Below are 25,164 nucleotides of genomic sequence, written 5' to 3'. Positions count from 1 at the left end.
CTGTCTTTTTTTTTTTAGACGGAGTCTCGCTCTGTCGCCCAGGCTGGAGTGCAGTGGCGTGATCTTGGCTCATTGCAACCTCCGCCTCCCAGGTTCAAGCAATTCTCCTGCCTCAGCCTCCAGAGTAGCTGGGATTACAGGCACATGCCGCCATGCCTGGCTAATTTTTGTATTTTTAGTAGAGATGGGGTTTCACTATGCTGGCCAGGCTGGTCTTGAACTCTTGACCTTGTGATCTGCCCACCTCAGCCTCCCAAAGTGCTGGGATTACAGGCATGAGCCACTGAGCCCAGCGGGAGGCACTATCTTATAATTAATATTTCCAGGTACGTTCTGATTGTTTTCCTGCATATTTGTGCAACCACACACAATTATTTGGGAAAACGTTCTTTATTTTTATTTTTATTTTTTTGAGATGGAGTCTTGCTTTGTTGCCCAGGCTGGAATGCAAAGGCATGATCTCGGCTCACTGCAATCTCCGCCTCCCAGGTTTAAGTGATTCTCTTGTCTCAGCCTCCCGAGTAGCTGAGATTATAGGTGCCCACCACGCCTGGCTAATTTTTGTATTTTTAGTAGAGATGGGGTTTCACCATATTGGTCAGGTTGGTCTCGAATACCTGGCCATGTGATCTGCCCACCTAGGCCTCCCAAAGTGCTGGGATTACAAGCATTAGCCACTGCACCCAGAGAACAAGTGGATTTTTTTTTTTTTTTGAGATGGAGTTCCACTCTGTTGTCCAGACTGAAGTGCAGTGGCAAGATCTCGGCTCACTGCAACCTCTGCCTCCCAGGTTCAAACGATTCTCCTGCTTCAGCCTCCTGAGTAGCTAGGACTACAGGCACCCACCACCAAGCCTGGCTAATTTTTGTATTTTTAGTAGAGACAGGGTTTCACCATGTTGGCCAGGCTGGTCTTGAACTCTATTACCTCAAGTGATCTGCCTGCTTCGGCCTCCCAAAGTGCTAGGATTACAGGTGTCAGCCACCGTGCCTGGCCTGGGAAAACATTCTTTTGCAGGCTTAAAAACTTTATGCACTCTGCGAGCAGTGGGTCACACCTGTAATCTCAGCACATTGGGAGGCCCAAGTGGGTGGATCACTTGGGGTCAGAAGTTCGAGACCAGCCTGTCCAATATGGTGAAACCCCATCTCTACTAAAAATAAAAAAATTAGCTGGGCGTGGTGGCAGGCGGCTGTAATCCCACCTACTTGGGAGGCTGAGGCTAGAGAATCGCTTGAACCTGGGAGGCGGAGGTTGCAGTGAGCCGAGTTCGCACCATTGCACTTCAGCCTGGGTGAGAGAGCAAGACTCTGTCTCAAAAAAAAAAAAAAACAACTTTATGCCCAGGACAGCACACAGTCCACATCCCTTCTTCTGCAACTGGCTTTTGTCCTTCAGCTTTTAAGATTCATTCATATCCATACAGCTGGCTCTGGATCACTAATTTTAATGCCTGGGAGGTGTTTCAGAGAAGGCTTTGGCACACCTCTCCATCCATTTAATTTCCCATCTGATCAGATCTCTAGGTTGTTTCTAATCTTTTCCTCTTAGAATCAGTTCTGCATCTATCTGGGTTGAGAATTTCCTCATTTCAAACGCCTGAGTCATGGGGTTCTGTTTTCTTCTGCCTCTAGCATTTGGCTTTGATCTGCCCGCTTCTGCCCTCCACACATTCTATTCTGGCTCTTTCCCCTCCCATCTAGGCCCCACCCATTCTCCTCTCAGAGCCCCAGGCCTCCAGGTTCCGCTCCCCTCCACCCTCCCCTCTGCAGCCAGAGGATCTTGAAACAGCGGGCATCTGAGATTATTTGTCTGAGCTGGTTTCCTCTCCTAGCCCAAAGTGGGGCGAGTGCAGGGACAGGGCTTGTCTGCCTTCCCTAGGCCTGTGTGCCCGTGCCTCACACTGCCATGAGATGAGGAAGACACAGTCATTAAACGGGATGAAAGTGTACCTGTCTCAACAACTGGCTTCCTGCTCACAGGTCGAGAGCGATCTTGGCTGTTGAAAATATGTGGATCGGCAGGTTAGTGGAGACAGGGGGAGTAGAAGAGGGGTGGTGGGTAAGTGGTGGGATAGGCAGGAACTGGAGCTTAACAGTTTAGCAGGAACATGTTTGGGGGATGGGATGGAGAGGAGTGTGGAGGCCCAAGCTTGAGGTCTGGGGGTTGGAAACCCAGGGGAACCGGAGTTACTGGAATTCAACTCATTGCCCTGCTAACACCACTGCCTCTTTCTTTTCCTTCCTTTTTTGTTTTTTGAGACAGAGTCTTGCTCTGTCGCCCAGGCTGGAGTGCAATGGTGCGATCTTGGCTCACTGCAACCTCCGCCTCCTGGGTTCAAGTGATTCTCCTGCTTCAGCCTCCTGAGTAGCTAGGATTACAGGTGCGCACCACCACACCCAGCTAACTTTTGTATTTTTAGTAGAGACGGGGTTTCGTCATGTTGGTCAAGCTTGTCTCGAACTCCTGACCTCAGGTGATCCATTTGCCTCGGCCTCCCAAAGTGCTGGGATTACAGGCGTGAGCCGCCGCTCCCGGCCTCAAAACAGACCAATTTAACAGCATTCCACCGATGTCCATGCTGAACCATGGGAATGGCGGCCTGTTCTTTCTCCTGGAGTCCATCCTCCTCTGCAGCCAGAATTCTTAGCCGGAGAGTGGTGCTGAGGGAGCACCCCACTGCGTCTTTTATGTGACTGGCCAAGTTGTCCAACCTCAGTTTTCCTCATCTGTAAATGAAGCTTATAACTGTACCTAGCATCCATTAATACTCTGAGGGAGATACTAACATATCATCTCCATCTTCAGATGAGGAAACTGAGGTTCAAGGACCCTAGGTCACCTGCCCAGAGTCACACAGCCCCTAAGTGTCTATGGCTCTGGGATGCTCCTTCTCTCCTTCTCCCACTGCTCTCTTCGTCTGGGGGCATTGTTTTGCTCCACTCCTACCCCCCAACACTCCCAGAACAGAGTGGACCCTCTGGGCTGTGATGATGAAGAAATGAATGAGTGCACTCTACTCTGATACCCACCTTTCCATATCTCGGTGGGACCCAAACCACCCCCACACTCTCACCTGCCTCCACCCTGTACCGCCCTGACTTTCTGCACTCGGCACACAGGCACCAGGGGGTGCCCCCAGCCTGCAAGTCACCCCATTGGGCTTTTGGAGAATGGGGCAGGGGGAGAGAAGGAGAATGGTCCAGAGACAGACTGAAAACCCTGGAGGTGAGGGGTGTGCAGAGAACCAGAGAGAGACGGACAGTAATCCTTTCTCTTCTTCTTCTTCTTCTTCTTCTTCTTCTTCTTCTTCTTCTTCTCCTCCTCCTCCTCCTCCTCCTCCTCCTCCTCCTGCTCCTCCTCCTCCTCCTCCTCCCTGGATTCCACTTTTACGCTGGCTCGGGATATGTGACCTTGGGCCTATAACTGAACTTCTCATCAGCAGATCGGGGATGACATGTGAGTGCAGCCCTCAGAGGTTTATGGGGATCATATGATGAATACCTGCGCAGCGTTTAGGCGAATACTTGCACGTAGCCAACGTGTGCCAGCTGGCGTTCACTGCCCTTCTGCTCTCCATGCTTTTTCTGTGCTAGGTGTGGCACCGAAATCTTACAACAGCCCGAAGTCGGCACCTTTATGATCTCCACTTTATTATGCTTTTCATAGGAATTCAGTTACATAAGTAATAGATGATTATGGGTTGATTACAAATTTCAGCCGGGTACGGTGGCTCAGGCCTTTCGGAGGCCAAGGTGGGAGGATCGCTGGAGCTCAGGAGTTCGAGACCAGCCTGGGCAACATAGCAAGGCCCCCATCTCTAGAAAAAATTTAAAAAATTTAAAAATTAGCTGGGTGTGGTGGCAGACGCCTGAAGTTCCACCTACTTGGGAGGCTGAGGAGGGAGGATCGCTCAAGTTCGAGGCTGCAGTGAGCCATGATCGCGCCATGGCCCTCCAGCCTGGGCAAAAGAGCAGGACCTTGTCTCCAAAAAAGGAAAGAGAAAAATAAAATTTCAAAGACTACAGAAAAATAACTCCCTTTCTCCCTTCAACCCACTATTCCCTGGCTGCTGTCTATTTCAGTCCCACCCCCAGCTGTCCATCGCCGGCCACTCCTGCCATTACTATTGTTCTAAAGCTGCCAGAGTCAGCCTGGCCTGGTTCTATTCTTTTCTATCTTTCTAGAAGGTAAGACCCACTCTGGGTGGGTCAGGAGGTTAGTGTGTTACTTTTTTTTTTTTTTTTTTTTGAGACGGAGTCTCGCTCTGTCACCCAGGTTGGAGTGCAGTGGTGCGATTTTGGTTCAATGCAACCTCTGCTTCCTGGGTTCAAGTGATTCTTCAGCCTCAGCCTCCGGAGTAGCTGGGATTACAGGCATGTGCCACTATGCCCAGCTAATTTGTGTATTTATAGTGGAGATGGCGTTTCACCATGTTGGCCAGGCTGGTCTCGAACTCCTGACCTCAAATGATCTGCCTGCCTCGGCCTCCCAAAGTGCTGGGATTACATGCGTGAGCCACTGCGCCCGGCCTCTATGCGTTACTTTGGAGAAGTCACGTTCCTCTTTACACACCCATGTGTCCAAATGTGAAGTCCATTCCATCTCCATTTAGTTCCAGTTTTTATTTCAACATGCTGCAGCTTCCAGAATAAGGAGTAGCTGGAGAAGATCCAGAGTGTGGCATGCAGAAAGCCCCTCCACCAGTGCCAGGCACTGAGGCCCCAGGGAACTCCTGACCTCCGCTCCTTTATGCAGAGTTGATGCCAGGCCTGCATCCAGGCCTGACTGGGTGATGCTGGGGAGGCAGTAGAGACAGAGACAGCCCTACCCCCATGGGGCCCACAGTCCAGTTGAGGAGGCAGGTTAGTCACCAGACCTTGACTGCCCAGAGTGGTCGGGGCTGGGATGGGGGAGGCCAGGGGGCCTGTGGGAGCCCAGAGTAAGTGCCTGCCCTGGCCGGAGAGTGGTGAGTATCAGGGAGGGCTTCCTGGAGGAGGGGATACATGGATCTGAAGAATGACTCGAGAAAGATCATGGGGAAGAGTGTTCCTGCAGGGGGAATAGCATGTTGGGTGGCTGAGAGGGTAGCAGGAGGGATTGGAGGAGACCAGGGTTTTTGATGATGATTTCAGCACAGAGTGCTGGGGCTGTGGGGGAGGTGGGGGAACTGATTTCTCACCTCAGGGAGGGGCAGGACTTTGGAGGAGAGAGGAGAGCAAACATTCCAGGTGGGGAAACACCTGTTACAAGCCATAAGAGGGAGTGTATGGCGCTGGAGGCCCAGCAAGGCCAGTGTGGTTTAGCACAGATCCTTGCTGTGGACACAGAGTTGGGAGTCCTTGGCAGACAGACAGCAGATTCTGCAGCTCTGTGAGTGACCAGGCTCACCTGGGAGAGAGGGTGAGAAGAGGACCTGGTTTCTAGCATGTGGAGGTGGGGTGGGGGAGAAGGCAGAGCAAGGGAGACTGAGGGTGGGGACCCAGGAGGTGGAACACCGCCACCACCAGGAAGCTGGAGGAGGGGCTCTCAGCCAACTCCCCACCAGAATTTGTATTGTATAATTCTAAAAACGATGTCTGGTTAACATTTATTTTTATGTTCAAATGTATCTTTTTAGAATATTGTGCCAGTCTTGAAGATCACTGGAGATACTTCTACCTTCACCTACAATTTTCTTTCTTTCTTTTTTTTTTTTTTTGAGACAAGGTCTCACTCTCTTGCCCAGGCTGGAGTGCAGTGGCACGATCTCAGCTCCCTGCAACCTCAACCTCCCAAGCTCCAGTGATCCTCTCACTTTAGCCTCCCAAGTAGCTGGGACTACAGGCGCATGCCACCAGACTGGGCTAATTTTTGTATTTTTTGTAGAGACGGGGTTTCACCATGTTGACCAGGCTGGTCTGGAACTCCTGGACACAAGTGATCCGCCCGCCTTGGCCTCCCAAAGTGCTGGGATTAAAGGCGTGGGCCTCCGTGCCCGGCCCTGTTTTACTCTTTTCCTGGTGCCTTTTTTTTTTTTTTTGAATTGGAGTTTCGCTCTTGTTGCCCAGGCTGGAGTGCAATGGCGCGATCTCGGCTCACCGCAACCTCTGGCTCCCAGGTTAAAGGGATTCTCCTGCTTCAGCCTCTGAGTAGCTGGGATTACAGGCATGTGACACCACACCCAGCCAATTTTGTATTTTTAATAGAGATGGGGTTTCTCCATGTTGGTCAGGCTGGTCTCAAACTCCCCATCTCAGGGATCTGCCAAACTCCCCATCTCAGGGATCTGCCGCCTTAGCCTCTCAAAGTTCTGGGATTACAGGCGTGAGCCACTGCGCCCAGCCCTTCCTGGTGTCTTTGATGAACTACATTTGAATGTAGTCCAATTTATCAATCTTTTCAGTAATGTTTGTGCTTTTTTGTGTCATTTTTAAGAACACTTTTTCTCTCTTGGGGGCATAAAGATACCCTTCTAGATTATCTGTTAAAGCTTTTATTGTTTAGCTTTTCACATTGAGATATATGATCCATCTGGAATTAATATTTGATGTGATGTCAGGTAGGTTTCGAATTTCCTTTTTCCCCGTAAAGGTATTCAATGTCTCAGTCTCATTATGGAAAAGACCACCCTTTCCTCATGGTTCTGTAATACCATCCTTGGCATCAACCAGAAGTGGGTTCTTATTTTGGGCTGACTAATCTCTTCCATTGGTCTCTGTTCATGTTTGGGTAATTCTACACTGTCCTAATTACCATAGCTCCCTAGTAAGTTTGATATCAGGTAGAGTAAGTCCTCTTATTTAGTTTTTGTTTTTTCGGAGTCTTGCTCTGTCACCCAGGCTGGAGTGCAGTGGCGTGATTTCGGCTCAGTGCAACCTCTGCTTCCTGGGTTCAAGCGATTCTCATGCCCTAGCCTCCCAGGTAGCTTGCATTACAGGCACCTGCCAGCATGCCTGGATAATTTTTGTATTTTTAGTAGAGATGGGGTTTCACCATGTTGGCTAAGCTGGTCTTGAACTCCTGACCCCAAGTGATCCACCCACCTTGGCCTCCTCAAGTGCTGGGATTACAGGCATGAGCCACTGTGCCTGGCTGCTATTTTATGTATGATTTTTACATCCAAGTTTGGTAGTGAGACTGGCCTGTAATTTTCGTTTCTTATATTGTCTTAGGCAGGTTTTGGCAATTAAGTTTCTGCCTGCCTTATAAAACTGTGCTTTTTCTATACCATAAAAGAGTTTATGTGAGATTGGCATTATTTCTTCCTTAGATATTTGGTAAATTTCACTAGTGGGTTATCATAAACATTGGAGGGAAGATACTTAATTTTAGACTTGATTTCTTTAATCATTTTAGCATTATTCATATTTATTGTTTCTCCTTGTGTCCATTTTGGCAAGTTGTATTTATTTTTCTTTCTTTTTTTTGAGGTGGAGTCTCGCTCTGTTGCCCAGGCTGGAGTGCAGTGGTGCAATCTCGGCTCACTGCAATGTCTACCTCCTGGGTTCAAGCGATTCTCCTGTCTCAGCCTTCCAAGTAGCTGGGATTACAGGCGCCTGCCAACACGCCCGGCTAATTTTTTGTATTTTTAGTAGAGATGGGGTTTTGCCGTGTTGGCCAGGTTGGTCTTGAACTCCTGACCTTAGGTGATCCGCCCACCTCGGCCTCCCAAAGTGCAGGGATTACAGGAGTGAGCCACCGCACCTGGCCTATTTTTCTAAGGAATGTGTTCACTAATCTTCAAACTTTTGACATAAAATTGTTGCTGGTTTTTTTTTCTTTTTTCTTCCTGTCAAGCTGTTCTTTATTTCAGGGAGAGGGCAGGGGAGGGGGCTCAGTCTTTCTAGGCAGCAGCTTTCCTCATGGTGGCCAGCACCTTGCTCAGCTCCTTCCGCTTCCTCTTGGTGCGGATGTGCGTCCCCATCCTTTTCTTGATGAACTTGAGGGACCGTTTGTCCTTGGGGACCTTCAGCAACTCCATGGCGAGCCGCTTGTACGAGACGAAGCTACACACCTCCCGGATCATGTCCCGCACAAACCTGGTGTGTTTGGTCAGACGTCCGGGGCGGCAGCTGTGCCTGGGCTTGCTCACGTCCTTGGTCACCTTGGGGCCCACGGCCACAGGGTCGCGCAGAGCCATGGCTGCTGCTCTCCAATGGCAGCCGTGGCGGAAGCGCTGGTATTCTTTAAGTTTATTTTTATTGAAAAATTTTCGGCCGGTCGCGGTGGCTCATGCCTGTAATCCCAGCACCTTGGGAGGCCGAGGCGGGCGGATGGAGACCATCCTGGCTAACACGGTGAAACCCGTCTCTAAAAATGCAAAAAAAATTAGCCGGGCGTGGTGGCGGCCGGCGCCTGTAGTCCCAGCTACTCGGGAGGCTGAGGCAGGAGAATGGCGTGAACCCCGAGAGGTGGAGCTTGCAGTGAGCCGAGATCGCGCCACCGCACTCCAGCCTGGGCGACAGAGCGAGACTCCGTCTCAAAAAAAAAAAAAAGAAAAAAAGAAAAACTTTCATTGTCTACCCCCCTGGTGATGCAAGCTTGGAGAAAATGTGTTCACATAATTAAATAGATGGGAATCCAAAGAATATCAGTATAGCAATGTCCCTTAATTCTTTTAACTCCTTCTAAGCTATATGCCAAAAATCAATGGTCACCTATCTTCAAAATATAGTTGAATGACTCCTCAGCTGGCAATTGCTCTAGGTCCTCTTCTAGTTTTGTTGACTGCAAAGTATTGAAAACAAAACATTGAAAAGCAAAGACTTGAAGGCGGATTTATTACCCAGTCAATTGAATTCCTCCTAACACCACTATTAATGTTCTAGATGTCTCTATTTGGTCACCAGAGGATTTCAGCACTGAGAGCATGTACTGAAAATGGAAGAGAGGTAGGATTTTTTTTTTTAAGTGGGAACAAACAAATGAACAAAAAAGTGAGTAAAAAGTGGGGCCAGGCATGGTGGCTCACTCCAGTAACCCCAGCATTTTGGGAGGCTGAGGCAGGAGAATCACTTGGGCCCAGGAGTTCAAGACCAGCCTGGGCAACATAGTGAGACACTGTCTTTACAAAAAAAAAAAAAAATTAGCCAGGTGTGGTGGCACGTACCTGTGATTCCAGCTACTCAAGAGGCTGAGGTGGGAGGATTGCTTGAGCTTGGGAAGTTGAGGCTTCAGTGAGCCAAGATTGAGCCACTGCATTCCAGCCTGGGCAACAGAGCAAGACCCTTTCTGGCAAAAAAAAAAAAAAAAAGAAAAAGAGAAAGTCTGGGCACAGTGGCTCACGCCTGTAATCCCAGCACTTTGGGAGGCTGAGGCAGGCAGATCACTGGAGGTCAGGAGTTTGAGACCAGCCTGGGCAACATGGTGAAAACCCATCTCTACTAAACATACAAATATTAGCCAGGAGTGGTTGTGTGCGCCTGTAATCCCAGCTACTTGGGAGGCTGAGGCGGGAAAATCACTTGAACCTGGGAGGCGGAGGTTGCAGTGAGCTGAGATGGGGCCACTGTGCTCCATCCTGGGCGACAGAGCAAGACTCTGTCTCAAAAAAAAAAAAAAAAAAAAAAAAAAAGAAAGGAAAGAAAAAGGAAAAAGGAAAGAAAAAGAAAAAGTGAGTGATGGGTGAAAAGTGAAACAGGATATGGGTAAATCATTCCTATACAACTGGGGCATTTTCAGGCAGGTCTCCTCGGGGAACTGTTCAATTGAAAGGTGAGGATTTGGGCATTAATTTCCTTTATTTATTTATTTATTTATTTATTTATTTATTTATTTATTTTGAGACGGAGTCTCACTCTGTCGCCCAGGCTTGGCGTGCAGTGGCGCCATCTTGGCTCACTGCAACCTCTGTCACCTGGGTTCAAATGATTCTCCCGCCATCAAGCCCAGCTAATTTTTGTATTTTTTAGTAGAGACAAGGTTTCACCAATTCAGTCAGGCTGGTCTTGAACTCCTGACCTCATGATCCACCCGCCTCGACCTCCCAAAGTGCTGGGATTACAGATGTGAGCCACCACGCCCGGCAATTTCCTTTAACTTATCTCTGTATCCATCTCTCCCATGGAAAATGTTCACGGACCCTTCCAGGTGTACATACCTAGACTAAGGAGCAGTCACCACCCTGAAGAGTAGCTGATGTTTTCTGTGTTACACTCTCTTGCCTATTCTGACGTGCAATAATAAAGGAGTTATTTTACAGCAGTTACTACCACAACCTAGAGTGTCTCGGACTGTGCGTTCTGCTGGATGCTTGGTCCTACGTAGCTACGTATTGTCAGCACAGACTTAATTATATATAATCATTACAAACTCAACAGCAATGGCATGGACTGTATGCCATGCCAGGGGCTGTGCCAAGTGTTTGAGAGGCATTGCCTTAGTTAATTCCCATTTTACACGTGAGGAAACCGAGGCTTGGGAGTGTTCCGTCACTTTCCCACGGCCAGCCAGTCAGTAACTCCCAGGCTTTGGGCTCAAACCTGGGTCTCTCTGAATCCAGAGCTGGTACCACACTGCCTGGAGACTCTAGACACTCAGAACTGTGAAATTTTAATCTTGGGACCCCATTAGAGACCCTCTGACCCATGCCCTTTGTTTTACAAAAGAAGTTTTAGGGCCAGAGTCAGGAAGTGACTCGCGCAAAGTCATCTGCCCAACAGGTGCAAGGTGCAAGCGGAAACGGGAGGCCTGGGTGGGAACCTCTCCCTGTTGACATTCTGATATCTAGGACTTTGGCACAATTTATTTTGAAGATAAAGAAGTACCTAAGGCAACCAAGGTATGTGCCAAGTTGAATGAGTCCCTTAATCTCTTGAGAAATTTCTCTAGGAGACAGGGGTATGGCTGAGATGACCTTGAGGAAACCTAAACCAGAGGCTCCAATAGTTTGCATTCTCTTCCAGCACCTGAATGAGCAGGGGCCGGACAATGTCACAGGATCAGTAGACATTCCAGGAAAGTAAAAGTTATCAGTTTGTGTCCTGACCACAGGTACAGACTGACTGCTGTTCCAGGCCTTGGAACGAATCTTAACCCTGGACCAAGAATGAACCCTAACTGCAACCACAGAGGGAGCAGGGAGAGCCTGGGCAAAGACTAAGAGAAAGACAATATATAGTATGTTGTGGGAGCCTGAGCTGTTTAGGACAGAAGGATTTCTAACTCCTGTTGCCACATAAAAGCTACTCCAGGGCCGGGAGCGGTGGCTCATGCCTGTAATCCCAGCACTTGGGGAGGCTGAGGTGGGTGGACCGCTTTAGTCCAGGAGTTTGAGACCAGCTTAATCAACAAGGTGAAACCCCATCTGTACTAAAAATACAAAATTAGTTTGGCGTGGTGGCACCTGCCTGTAATCCCAGCTACTGGGAGGCTGAGGCAGGAGAATTGCTTGAACCCGGGAGGTGGAAGTTGCAGTGAGCCGAGGTGGCACCATTGCACTCCAGCCTGGGCAACAAGAGCGAAACTCCATCTTAGAAATAAATAAATAAATAAATAGGCCAGGCACAGTGGCTCATGCCTGTAATCACAGTGCTTTGGAAGGCCGAGATGAAAAGGCAGGAGAATCGCTTGAACCCGGGAGGCAGAGGTTGTAGTGAGCCGAGATTGCACCACTGCACTCCAGCCTGGGCAACAAAAGCAAGACTCTGTTTCAAAACAAACAAACAAACAAACAAACAAACAAACGAAAAAAAACAGGGGTCTGGGCGCGGTGGCTCACGCCTGTAATCCCAGCACTTTGGGATCAGCTCACTGCAACCTCCACCTCCTGGGTTCAGGGGATCCTTTGTCTCAGCCTCCCGAGTAGCCGGGACTACAGGCATGCACCATCACACTGGGCTGATTTTTGTATTTTTAGTAGAGACAGGGTTTCACCGTGTTGGCCAGGCTGGTCTCGAACTCGTGGCTTCAAATGATCTGCCCACCTTGGCCTCCCAAAGTGGTGGGATTACAGGCGTGAACCGCTGCACCCGGCCGATGGTGTTATTATTTTTCTATTGCTGCCATTAACAAATTTCCACAAACTTAGTGGTGTAAATCAACACAGATTTATTATCTTACAGTTCTGGAGGTCAGAAGTCTGAAGCTAACCTTAACGGGCTAAAGTCAAGTGTCAGCAGGGCTGGATCCTTCTGGAGGTTTCAGTGGAGAATCTGTCACTTTTTTCTCCCAGCCTCTGGAGGCTGCCTCCATGCCGTGGCTTCTGACTGCATCACTCCAGTCTCTGCTTCAGTGGTCACATCTTCTCTGACTCTGACCTTTCTTTCTTTTTTTTTTTTTTTGAGATGCAGTCTTGCTCTGTCACCCAGGCTGGAATGCAATAGCACAATCTTGGCTCACTGCAGCCTCCACCTCCCAGGTTCAAGTGATCCTTGTGCCTCAGCCATTTGAGTAGCTGGGACTACAGGCACACGCCACCACACTGGCTAATTTCTGTATTTTTAGTAGAGACAGGGTTTTACCATGTTGGCCAGGCTGGTCTCGAACTCCTGACCTCAGGTGATCCGCCCACCTTCGCCTTACAAAGTGCTGGGATTACAGGCGTGAGTCACCGTGCCCAGCCTGACTGTGACCTTTCTGCTCTCCTGTTAGAAGGATGCTTGTGATTACCTTGGGTCCACTAGCTAATCCAGAATGACCCTTCCATCTCAAGATCCTTAATCACTTCCGCAAAACCTCATTTACCATGTCGGGGAATGTGTTCGCAGGTTCTGAGCATTAGGGTGTGGACATCTTCGGGCGGGGTGGGGTGGCGTTATTCAGCCTACTATGCCTGGATCTAGGAGATTTAGGGACCTCAGTCTTGTATAGAATTCCTCCAAGAAGCAGACTTTGGGAAACCTTTGGGGAGAACTCCCTTTAGTGCTCATTTTCTTCCTCTCCCACAGTTGCTCTGTTTAGCTTCCCTCCCTCCCTCCCTCCCTCCCTCCCTCCCTCCTTTCTTTCTTTCTTTCTTTCTTTCTTTCTTTCTTTCTTTCTTTCTTTCTTTCTTTCTTTCTTTCTTTCTTTCTCTCTGTCTCTCTCTCTTTTCTTTCTTCTTTCCTTCCTTTGTTTTTTTGGAGTCTCACTCTGTCGCCCAGGCTGGAGTACAGTAGCGTGATCTCAGCTTACTGCAACCTCTGCCTCCCAGGTTCAAGTGATCCTCCTGCTCAGCCCCCCTAGTAGCTGGGATTACAGGCACACGCCACCATGCCCGGCTAATTTTTGTATTTTTAGTAGAGACAGGGTTTTGCCACGTTGGCTAGGCTGGTCTCAAACTCCTGACCTCAGGTGATCCACCCACCTCGGCCTCCCAAAGTGCTGGGATTACAGGTGTGAGCCACCACGCCTGGACATTTATCACTATGTCTAGTTAAATCAATGTTGAATGCTTGCATGACGATGACTCTGCAATAGATAAGAGTCCACAGTTAGGCCGTGTAGTGAACTATTCAGTGATGGCATTTCCTTTCTCATACGGGCTTGTTTATCCTGAAGTCAATCACTGTCTTGTCTTTCATTTACTTACTCTTCCAAGCACTTGTTAGTATTTTATCCCTAGATTCTGACATAGCCATGATCCAACATGTCAGGGAATCAGCATCTTTTTTTTTTTTTTTTTTTTTTGAGAGGGAGTCTCACTCTGTCGCCCAGGCTGGAGTGCAGTGGCATGATCTTGGTTCACTGCAACCTCCACCTCCCAGGTTCAACCGATTCCCCTGGCTCAGCCTCCTGAGTAGCTGGGATTACAGGCATCCACCACCATGCCTGACTAATTTTTGTATTTTTAGTAGAGACAGGGTTTCACCATGTTGGCCAGGGTTGTCTCAAACTCCTGACCTCAAGTGATCCACCTGTCTTGGCCTCCCAAAATGCTGGGATTACAGGTGTGAGCCACAGTGCTCTGCCAACATCTTGATACTCAAAAGAACCGAACCTCACAGGCCACTTTTGAAGGACACTAAGGAACCAACTCATTATTGTGAAAACTAGTAAGTAAAGGAAAGAATCAGGCATGTCTCTTGCTTTTTTTTTCTTTCTTTCTTTTCGTTTTGTGACAGGGTCTCACTCTGTCCACCCAGGCTGGAGTGCAGTGGCGCAATCATGGCTCACTGCAGCCTCAACCTCCCAGGCTCAAGTGATTCTCATGCCTCCGCCTCTGTAGTATCTGGGACTACAGGTGCTCACCATCATACCTGGCTAATTTTTAATATTTTTTGTAGAGACAGAGTCTTGCCATGTTGGTCGGGCTGGTCTTGAACTCCTGGGCCCAAGCAATCTGCCCGGCTCAGCCTCCCAAAGTTCTGAGATTACAGGCATGAGCCACCATGCCCAGTTGTCTCTTGCCTTCTCTATAAAAACTGTACATTAGGACCCCATTTTTCCCAAGCCGAAGATCTCAGTAGTTAAAGAATTTTTTTTTTTTTTTTTTTTTTTTTTTGAGACAGAGTCTTGCTCTTTCGCCCAGGCTGGAGTGCAGTGGCGCGATCTTGGCTCACTGCAAGCTCCGCCTCCTGGGTTCACGCCATTCTCGCGCCTCAGCCTCCTGAGTAGCTGGGACTACAGGCGTCCACCACCATGCCCGGCTAAATTTTTTTTGTATTTTTAGTAGAGATGGGGTTTCACCGTGGTAGCCAGGATGGTTTCGATCTCCTGACTTCATAATCCGCCCACCTCGGCCTCCCAAAGTGCTGGGATTACAGGCGTGAGCCACCACGCCGGCCAGTAGTTAAAGATATTAACATAATTATGTGTCTGCTTTTTCCTGTCTGTATCATCTATATCCATTTCTATATTCATATCACGTCTATACTATATTTATATCATCTATATTTGAATCATCTATTTACCATTTATGTCTATATAATTTATCTTTATATCTATATTATCTATCTAAATAATCATTTTTTTTTCAGATGGAGTCTCGCTCTGTCACCCAGGGTGGAATGCAGTCGTTTGATCTCAGCTCACTGCAGCCTCCGCCTCCTGGGTTCAAGTGATTCTCCTGCCTCAGCCTCCTGAGTAGCTGGGACTACAGGCATGTGCCACCACACCAGGCTAATTTTTGTTTTTGTTTTGTTTTTTGTTTTTTTTTGAGATGGAGTCTCTCTCTGTCACCCAGGCTGGAGTGCAGTGGTGCGATCTCGGCTCACTACAAGCTCCACCTCCCAGGTTAAAGCGATTCTCCTGCCTCAGCCTCCCGAGTAGCTGGGACTACAGGCACCTGCCACCACGCCCAGCTATTTTTTAAAAATATTTTTAGTAGAGACGGGGTTTCACTGTGTTAGCCAGGATGATCTGGATCTCCTGACCTCGTGATGTGCCCGCCTCCGCCTCCCAAAGTGCTGGGATTACGGGTGTGAGCCACTGCGCCCAGCCGATAATTTTTGTATTTTTTGTGGAGACGGGGTTTCTCCATGTTGGCCAGGCTGGTCTCAAACTCCTGACCTCAGGTGATCTGCCTGCCTCGGCCTCTCAAAGTTCTGGGATTACAGGCGTGAGCCACCAGGCCCAGCCCTAAATCATCTTTCTATTGTATAAGTATACATCATTTATCTGTACATCTATGCTAATATATTCATATTCTATATTTATATCTAATATTTCAGAATAACCTACCCCTGTTATACTGCTGAGGGACTCATGCACAACCACTCTTTTTCATTCTCCAAAGACTTCAGGTTCCAGATTTCCAGTCATCCCAGACTTTTAACTGCCCTTTACCTACAAACACACACAGAAGTACCCATGCAGATATAACTCGCACAGGGGCAACCCCTCACCCCCCATCAGGCTAAATGTGCCTTTGGTCTCCTCCAGTGAGAACAGGTAACATCCCAGGGCTCTCCAGCCCTCTCCAGCCCAGCACCCTGCCCCTTATCCACTCTCCCATTCTTGCGCCCCCTCCAAGGATCAGACCCTCCAGGCCTCCAGGAGGCGCTGTGAGCTGTAGCTGAGGTGGGAAGGTTTAGGAATTGCGGGAGCAGGGAGACAGAAATGGCTTGAGTGGAAGAGAGAATAATAATATGATTCTATTTAATTCTCAGAAATCCCGAGAGAAATATGATTCCCACTTTACAGATAAGGAAACTGAGGCTCAGGAAAATGACACAATTGCTTAAGTTCACACAGCTCGGAAGCAAATGAACTAGGACTGAACTTACATGTTGTGGCAACAAAGCCCTTTCTCTCTCTCTTTTTTTTTTTTGAGAGGAAGTTTTGCTTTTGTTTCCCAGGCTGGAGTGCAATGGCCCAATCTCAGCTCACTGCAACCTCCACCTCCCGGGTTCAAAGAGTCTCCTGCCTCAGCTTCCCGAGTAGCTGGGATTACAGTAGTGTGCCACCACACCTGGCTAATTTTGTGTTTTTAGTAGAGTTGGGGTTTTTACATGTTGGTCAGGCTGGTCTTGAACTCCCGACCTCAGGTGATCTGCCTGCCTCGGCCTCCCAAAGTGCTGGGATTACAGGCGTGAGCCACCGCACCCAGTCAGCCCTTTCTCTCAAGCACTGACAATACATTGCTCTGGGTTAATGTGTGTGGAGGTGGGTGGTGCTTTCAGTTGATCAAAAATATCTGTGTGAAAGTAATGCTGATATCGATAACAACAATAGCTAATATTTGTTAAGGGCGTCCTATAAGGACTTGTGTTCAGCTCTTTGCCTACACGTCTTGCTAAATCTTCACATACCACTGAGAAGTAGGTAACATTTTCTTTTTCTAAAATTTTTAAATTTTTTCCTTGTATCCACAAATTATTTTCATTTCACTTAATTAATTAATTTATTTCATTTCTTTTTTTGATACGGAGTCTGACTCTGTCACCCAGGTTGGTTTGCAGTGGCGTGATCTCGGCTCACTGCAACCTCTGCCTCCTAGGTTCAAGTGATTCTCTTGCTTCGGCCTCCTGAGTAGCTGGGATTAGCAGCACCATGCTGGCTAATTTTTGTATTTTTAGTAGAGATGGGGTTTCACCTTGTTGACCAGGCTGGTCTTGAACTGACCTCTTCTCCTCCCCTCCCCTTACCTCTCCTCCCTCTTTTCTCTTTCTTTTCTTTTCTTTGTTTCTCTTTCTTTCTTTCTTTCTTTCTTTCTCTTTCTTTCTTTTTCTTCCTTCCTTTCTTTCTCTTTTTCTTTCTTTCTTCCTCTCTCCTTCCTTCTTTCTTTCCTTCCTTCCTTCTTTCCTTTCTTTTCTTTTCTTTCTTTCTTTCTCCTCTCCCTCCCCTCTCCTCCCCTCCCCTCCCCTCCCCTCCCAGCCCTTTCCTTCCCCACTGCCCCCTTATCCTCTTTCACAGGGTCTCACTCCATCACCACAATCACAGGCTCACTGCAGCCTCTAACTCCTGGGCTCAAGCAGTCCTCCTGCCTTAGCCTCCTGAGTAGCTGGAATTAAGGTGCACCACCACACTTGGCTAATTAAAAAACTTTTTTTTTTTTTTTTTTTTTAAGAGAGGGATTCTCACTATGTTGCCCAGGCTGGTCTTGAACTCCTGGCCTCAAGTGATCCTCCTGTCTTGGGCTCCCAAAGTGCTGGGATTACAAGCATGAGCCACCTTGCTTGGCCAATCTTTTCCTTTGTTTGGTGAGATGCCCCATGGTTCTGGTGTGCATTCTCCCTCATTGAAATGGGTCAGTGAACCTGGCTTTGTTAGACTACAAGTTAGTTCCTGGTCACCTTAGATTGATGGGTGAAGGGGTTGAGAGTGTGTTACCTCAAATTTGCCACCCCAGCATAAGCATTATTTTGAGCTGAAGACAGTTGAGAAAAAGCAGACACATGAAAGAACTCTGCCCTCCCCTTCTCTACCAAGAAGGGCAGGATGATTTCTTAATAGCCAATACAATCTCTAGACTCTTATCAGCCCACAGATGGCAGGAGGGGAATCTATATAACAAACCTTATGAGCCAGCCCTTATCTTCCACTAGTTGCCCAATATATTTATCTTCCCACAATTTGCTGTGCCCGGAAGCTCAAAAGTTCTTTTCCTGTGTCTTGTCATTCTCTACAAATTTATTGTTCTTTTTTTTTTTTTTTTTTTTTTTTGTTGTTGTTGTTGGTGTTGGTGTTGATCTGGAGTCCAACTCTGTCACCCAGGCTGGAGTGCAGTGTCATGATCTTGGTTCACTGTAAACTCCGCCTCCTGGGTTCAAGCGATTCTCCTGCCTCAGCCTCCCAAACAAATTTATTGTTCTTTATTAAGATGCTATGGCCAGTCACGGTGGCTCACGCCTGTAATCCCAGCACTTTGGGAGGCCAAGACGGGCAGATCACCTGAGGTCGGGAGTTCGAGACCAGCCTGGCCAACGTGGAGAAACCCTGTCTCTACTAAAAAATACAAAATTAGCCAGGCATGGTGGCACATGCCTGTAATCCCAGTTACTCGGGAGGCTGAGGCAGGAGAATCACTTGAACCCAGGAGGCGGAGGTTGCGGTGAGCCGAGATCGTGCCATTGCAGTCCAGCCTGGGCAAAAAGAGCGAAACTCCATCTCAAAAAGAAAAAAAAAAAAGATGCTACGTAAGCTCCAAGTTCATTGGCAGAAGTAGGGCCACGTGCAGTAAAGCCTTAACTCTGCTGGCATGGGTCCTTAAGTATTGAACATTCCAAAGAAAAAAACTGGCCCTTGACCACTCCTTAAGCTCTAAGCCTTTGGAATATCCTGCCTGATAACAGTATCTGTACACATCTGGGCCTTGGGTGGGACAGAGGGATAGTTTATGCTAACACCATGACTCATGGTGTCTGTTTTTGCATACCTGGGGCTTTGGGCAACACTGTGTTAGTTTGACCTCTGTGGGCTGGAGACTGAGGAGTTGTCACTTGGGTGCTCTCTGCCTATGTAACTGACCCCCAGTGAACACCTTGGACACCAGAGCTTGGGTGAGTTTTCCTGGTTGGAAGTGCTCCATGCTTGTCATGGCTTCTTGCTGGGGAATAAAGCCCTCTCCACACAAGTCCACTGAAAGAGGACAGGTGGCAGCTCATGGGATCTCCCTCAGACTCCGCCCTGTGAGCCTTTTTTTTTTTTTTTTTTTTTTTTTTGCTGATCTTTTTTTTTCTGTTGCCCAGGCTGGAGTGCAGTGGCATGATCTTGGCTCACTGCAACCTTTGCCTCCCAGGTTCAAGTGATCCTCCTGCCTCAGCTTCTTGAGTAACTGGGATAACAGGCACCTGCCACCATGCCTGGCTAATTTTTGTATTTTTAGTAGAGATGGGGTTTTATCATGTTGGTCAGGTTGGTCTCAAACTCCTAGCCTCAAGCGATCTGCCCACCTCGGCCTCCCAAAGTGCTGGGATTACAGGCATGAGCTAACACGCCTGGCCCAAAGGTTCTTTATGAACCTTAATGTGGCCCTTAATGAGAACTTGATTTCCTCTGAACCTGTTTATCTCCCATGCATCTTGGTAAGTGGTATTACCATACCCTGATTGCTAGAATTAGAGATCTAGGAGTCATTCTTTTTATTTTATTCGAGTCTTTTTTTTTTTTTTTTTTTTTTGAGACAAGAGTCTCACTTTTGTCATCCAGGCTGGAGTGCAGTGGTGCAATCTCAGCTCACTGCAACATCTGCTTCCTGGGTTCAAGCAATTCTTGTGTCTCAGCCTCCCAAGTAGCTGGGACTGCAGGCACATGCCACCATGCCTGGCTGATTTTTGTATTTTTAGTAGAGATGGGGTTTCGCTATGTTGGCCAGGCTGGTCTTGAACTCCTGGGCTCAGGCGATCCTCCTGCCTTGGCCTCCCAAAGTGCTGGGATTAGAGGTGTGAGCCACCACGCCCAGCCTGTTTCTAACTTTATTATGAAAGTGACATTCAGATATCTACAAAAGTAGGGAGAAGAATGCAATAAACTCCTATCACCTAGTTTCACCAATTATCAGCATTCTCCTCAGCTTATTTTATGTATTCCTGTTTTCCGAAGCATTTTAAACAATCCCAGATATTTGCCCCATAACTATCTCAGTATGCATTGCTTAATGATAAAAAGTTTAGCAGTACCATCATGCCATTATTCCAGCTAGCAAAAATAATATTCCTTTAATTTCATCTAACACTCAGTCCATATTCATACTTCTCCAATGATCTCAGAAAAGTCATTTTTGGTTACTTTGTTCAAAACAGAATGCAAAAAAGCCCTGAGACTGTGTTTGGTTGTTATATTCCCAAAGTCACTAAAAAAAACTTTATCAAGGTATAATTGACATAAAACAAATGGCTCATATTTATTTATTTATTTATTTTGATTCTCTCACATCAGCCTCCCAAGTAGCTGGGACTACAGGCATGTACACCATGCCTCGCTAGTTTTTTTGTTTGTTTGGTTTTTTTAGAGACAGGGTTTTGCCATGTTGCTCAGGCTGGTCTCAAAACTCCTGGACTCCAGCAATCCTCCCCACTTGGCCTCCCAAAGTGCTGGGATTACAGGTGTGAGCCACCACGCCCTTCCACTGCTCATATTTAAATGAGCATTTCTGTAATCTCAACATTTCCTTGTATTTTTTTGTAATCTCTCCCACCCACTTACACTCCCATCCCTATTTTTCAAGCAACCTCTGATTTGTTCTCTATTGCTATAGATTAGTTTGTATTTTCTTGAGTCTTATATAAACGGAATCATATAGTATGTTCCTTTTTGGGGGGAGGAGTCCAACATAATTATTCTGAGATTGATTCATGTTGCTGTATGTATCAATAGTACATTCCTTTTGATTGCCAAGTAGTATTCCATTGTACAGATGTACCACAGTTTGTTTATCCATTTACCTGTTGATGAACATTTGGGGTGTTTTCAATTTTTGGCTATTAAAAATGCAGCTTCTATGAACACTTGTATACAAGTTTTTTTTTGTATATTTATTTTTGAGACAGAGTCTCGCTCTGTTGCCCAGGCTGGAGTGCAGTAGTGTGATCTTGGCTCACTGCAAGCTCCACCTCCCGGGTTCATGCCATTCTCCTGCCTCAGCCTCCCTAGTAGCTGGGACTACAGGCTCCCACCACCACGCCTGGCTAATTTTTTTTTTGTATTTTTAGTAGAGACAGGGTTTCACCATGTTAGCCAGGATGGTCTTGATCTCCTGACCTCGTGATCCACCCACCTCGGCCTCCCAAAGTGCTGGGATTACAGGTGTGAGCCATTGCGCCCAGACTACAAGTTTTTGTTGTTGTTGTTGTTTGAGACAGGGTCTTGCTCTGTCACCCCAGGAGGAGTGCAGTGGTGCAATGACAGCTCACTGCAGCCTTGATCTCCCAGACTCAAGTGATCCTCCTACCTCAGCTTCTTGAGTAGCTGGAACTACAGGCGGGCGCCACCATACCTGGCTAATTTTTAAATTTTCTGTAGAGATGAGGGCTTTGCCATGTTGCCCAGGATGGTCTCTTGAGCTCAAGCGATCCACTCGCCTCATCCTCCCAAAGTGTTGGGGTTATAGGCATGAGCCACCTTGCCCTGCCACAAGTTTTTATATGAACATATATTTTCATTTCTCTTGACTAAATAGGAGGGAAGGGGCTGGATCATAAAGGTATGTTTAACTTTTTGAGCAACTGCCATACTGTTTTCCAAAAATGGTTGTACCATTCATTGTACATTTCCACCGGCAGTGCATGAGAGTTCCAGTTCCTCCCTCTCCTGGCCAACATTTGATATGACCAGTCGTTTGGATAGTTATGTAGTGGTATCTCATTGTGGCTTAAATTTGAATTTCCCTAATTACTTGTGATATTGAGCATTTTTACATGTGCTTTTTGCTATCTGTGTGTCTTGTTTGGTGTCTGTCAAATCTTTAATTTCCTATCTTTTGTCCTGGAATGTGCCATTCCAGTTGGAATAAGGGAACCCATTTCAATGGCTGAAATGAGCCATCTGAATTTTTTTACCTCTATACCAGCCGTTACAGGGCTTTTCAAAGATGCTAGTGCTTCTGATGCCAGTATATTTCTCAATGTCATTGTGAAAGGCATGTTTCCTTAGGAGATATTGTTAGGGTGTGTATGATCTTCTAAACTTAACAGGTACTCTCCAACATTTATTATATCAGTCTTTGTTTATTTGTTTGTTTTGAGATGGAGTCTTGCTCTGTTGCCCAGGCTGGAGTGCAGTGGTGCGATCTCAGCTCGTTGCAACCTCCACCTCCCAGGTTCAAGTGATTTTCCTGCCTCAGCCTCCTGAGTAGCTGGGATTACAGGCACGCGCCACCATGCCTGGCTAATTTTGTATTTTTAGTAGAGATGGGGCTTCTCCATATTGGCCAGGCTGGTCTCGAACTCTTGACCTCAGGTGATCCACCCACCTCAGCCTCCCAAAGTGCTGGGATCACAGGCGTAAGCCACCATGCCTGGCCTCAGTCTTTGGATTTCTTCCTCTACATTACATCAACAAATCTATGATATCAACTATATATTATATCAACAAAACTAAGCTTCATTTAGTTTAGTCCAACAGAGCCAATAATTTGAACAACTTCTAGAAAGTTGATCTAGCAATATATCTAGGATCTCTGTTAGTGTTTCCATACCGATACACATAGCCTTACAAAGCACTATGTGACAAATTATCTGGTTTAGCATGTGCAGAATCCTTTCCCACTTATAATCAGCTTTCTTAAAAGGGTATAATTTACATTCCATGAAATCCACAGGTTTACAGTTCAGTCAATTATGACAAAGGCATACACCCATGTAACCCAAATTTCTCTCAAGACACAGAACGTGTTCATCACCATAGAAGCATTCATCATGCCTTTTCCCAATTCATAAGCACTTGAAAAGCAAGCACTGTTGTGATTTCTAGAACCACAGATTAGCTTTGCCTTTTCTAGAGTTTCCTGTGACTAGAATTCTATATAATACACCCTTTTTTGAATCTCACTTAGCAAAATGTTTGAGATTCACTCACGTTATTAGTGTGTTAGTAGTTCATTCCTTTTAGTAGTTTGAATTAGTAGTTCATTCCTTTTCAATAGTTGAGTAGGAGTCCATTGTATAAATAAAGCACAGTTTGAGTTTGTTTATCCATTCTCCTGTTGATGGACATCTGAGCTGTTTACAGTCTCTTGCCAATAATAGAGCTGGGATAAACATTCCTTTTTTTTTTTTCGAGACGGAGTCTCGCTCTGTCACCGAGGCTGGAGTGCAGTGGTGCAATTTCAGCTCATTGCAAGCTCCGCCTCCCGGGTTCATGTCATTTTCCTGCCTCAGCCTCCCAAGTAGCTGGGACTACAGGCGCCCACCACCACGCCGGGCTAATTTTTTGTGTTTTTAGTAGAGATTGGGTTTCACCGTGTTAGCCAGGTTGGTCTCTATCTCCTGACCTTGTGATCCACCTGCCTTGGCCTCTCAAAGTGCTGGGATTACAGGCGTGAGCCATCGCACCCGGCTGGGATGAACATTCTCTTACAAAGTTTTATGTAGACATAAGTTTTTATTTCTCTTGGATAAATACCAAAGGGAGAAATAACTGGCTCACAGAATAGATGTTACTTTCTCCCAACACTATTAGGAAAAAATTTCAAACATAAAGAAAAGTTTAAAGAATTGTATAATAAACACCCACATACTCATCACTTAGATTCTACAATGAACATTTTCCCATGTTTGTTTTGTCATATCTATCCTTCTACCCTCCCACCAAACCACCTTATTATTTATTTTATTTGTATTTCTTGCTTTGTCACCCAGGCTGGAGTGCCATGGAGTGATCACAGCTCACTGTAACCTCAAACTCCTGGCCTCAAGCAATCTTCTCATTTCAGCCTTCCAAAGCACTGCGATTACAGGCATGAGCCACTGCACCTATTTATTTATTTTGAGATTGAGTTTCGCCCTTGCTTTTTTTTTTTTTTTTTTTTTTTTTTTTGGGATGGAATCTCGCTCTGTCACCCAGGCTGGAGTGCAATGGTGCGATCTTGGCTTACTGCAGGCTCTGCCTCCTGGGTTCACGCCATTCTCCCGCCTCCGCCTCCTGAATAGCTGGGACTACAGGACCCCGCCACCACGCCCGGCTAATTTTTTTTTGTATTTTTAGTAGAGATGGGGTTTCACCGTGTTAGCCAGGTTGGTCTTGATCTCCTGACCTCGTGATCCGCCCGCCTCAACCTCCCAATGTGCTGGGATTACAGGCGTGAGCCACCGTGCCTTGCTCTTGTTGCCCAGGCTGGAGTGCAATGACGTGATCTCAGCTCACTGCAACTTCCGCCTCCCTAGTTCAAGCAATTCTCCTGTCTCAGCCTCCCGGGTAGCTGGGATTACAGGCGTGTGCCACCATGCCCGGCTAATTTTGTACTTTTAGTAGAGATGGGGTTTCACCATGTTGGTCTAGCTGGTCTCGAACTCCCGACCTCAGATGATCTGCCTGCCTTGGCCTCCCAAAGTGCTGGGATTATAGGCGTGAGCCACCGCGCCAGGCCTTTTTTCTTCAAGCGATTCTCCCATCTCAGCCTCCCGAGTAGCTGGGACAACAGGCATGCACCACCACGCCCGGCTAATTTTTGTATTTTTTGGTAGAAACGGGATTCATCTTGTTGGCCAGGCTGGTCTCGAACTCCTGACCTCAAGTGATCCTCCCACCTTGGCCTCCCAAAGTGTTGGGATTACAGGCATGAGCCACTGCACCTCGCCTATTTTTCTGATGCTTCTTGATAGAAATGGCAGACACCAGTACATTTCACCCCCAGACACTTGAATATCAATATCATTACCTAAAATTGAATCTTTATGTTTTCAAGGTAAAATTGACATAGAATAAAATGCATAAATCATAACTATATGGTTTGATGTGCTTTGAAAAATGCATGTACCTGTATAATAAAAACACCCATCAAGATAGAGCACTATCATCACCGCAAAAAGTCCCCTCATGTCCCTTCTCAGTCAGTGTCTCAGAAACAACAACTCTTTTGTCCCACCTCCCCACATAAGTTAGTTTTGTCTGTTATAGAACGTTAAATAACCAGCATTTCCTTTTCTTTTTTTTTGAGACAGAGTTTTGCTCTTGTTGCGCAGGCTGGAGTGCGGTGGTGCAACCTCGGCTCACTGCAACCTCCACCTCCTGGGTTCAAGTAATTCTCCTGCCTCAGCCTCCCGAGCAGTTGGGATTATAGGCATGTGCCACCATGCCCAGCTAATTTTTTGTATTTTTAGCAGAAATGGGGTTTCACCATTTTGGCCAGGCTGGTCTGGAACTCCTGGCCTCAGGTGATCCACCTG

The 25,164-nt window shown here is 47.0% G+C and overlaps 1 protein-coding gene and 1 pseudogene across 1 annotated transcript in view, besides 3 other annotated features; one reads left to right on the top strand and one right to left on the bottom strand.

Annotated features, from left to right (window-relative positions):
• Nucleotides 1-25,164, top strand: part of LOC124904790 (uncharacterized) — a 57,419-nt gene that overhangs the window by 15,069 nt on the left and 17,186 nt on the right. The window contains exon 2 of the mRNA XM_047439802.1: nt 1,915-2,025. Within this exon, the coding sequence (XP_047295758.1) occupies nt 1,915-2,025 (111 nt within the window). The remainder of the gene's footprint in view (nt 1-1,914; nt 2,026-25,164) is intronic.
• Nucleotides 1,725-2,402: an enhancer, noted in NCBI's record as "NANOG-H3K27ac-H3K4me1 hESC enhancer chr19:41681487-41682164 (GRCh37/hg19 assembly coordinates)". NCBI's record gives its function as "activates a minimal SCP1, AML or CMV promoter by ChIP-STARR-seq in primed H9 embryonic stem cells {active_cell/tissue: H9 hESC(primed)}" and the evidence as "EXISTENCE:reporter gene assay evidence [ECO:0000049][PMID:30033119]".
• On the bottom strand, nt 7,916-8,023 carry RPL36P16 (ribosomal protein L36 pseudogene 16; annotated as a pseudogene).
• Nucleotides 10,546-10,840: an enhancer, noted in NCBI's record as "tiled region #1789; HepG2 Activating DNase unmatched - State 5:Enh". NCBI's record gives its function as "activates a minimal TATA promoter and a strong SV40 promoter by Sharpr-MPRA in HepG2 cells {active_cell/tissue: HepG2}" and the evidence as "EXISTENCE:reporter gene assay evidence [ECO:0000049][PMID:27701403]".
• Nucleotides 18,373-18,936: an enhancer, noted in NCBI's record as "H3K27ac-H3K4me1 hESC enhancer chr19:41664953-41665516 (GRCh37/hg19 assembly coordinates)". NCBI's record gives its function as "activates a minimal SCP1, AML or CMV promoter by ChIP-STARR-seq in naive H9 embryonic stem cells {active_cell/tissue: H9 hESC(naive)}" and the evidence as "EXISTENCE:reporter gene assay evidence [ECO:0000049][PMID:30033119]".

Source organism: Homo sapiens, chromosome 19 (assembly GCF_000001405.40).
Source record: "Homo sapiens chromosome 19, GRCh38.p14 Primary Assembly".
Lineage (NCBI taxonomy): Eukaryota > Metazoa > Chordata > Mammalia > Primates > Hominidae > Homo > Homo sapiens.
This window is presented reverse-complemented; position numbering and strand designations above follow the sequence as displayed.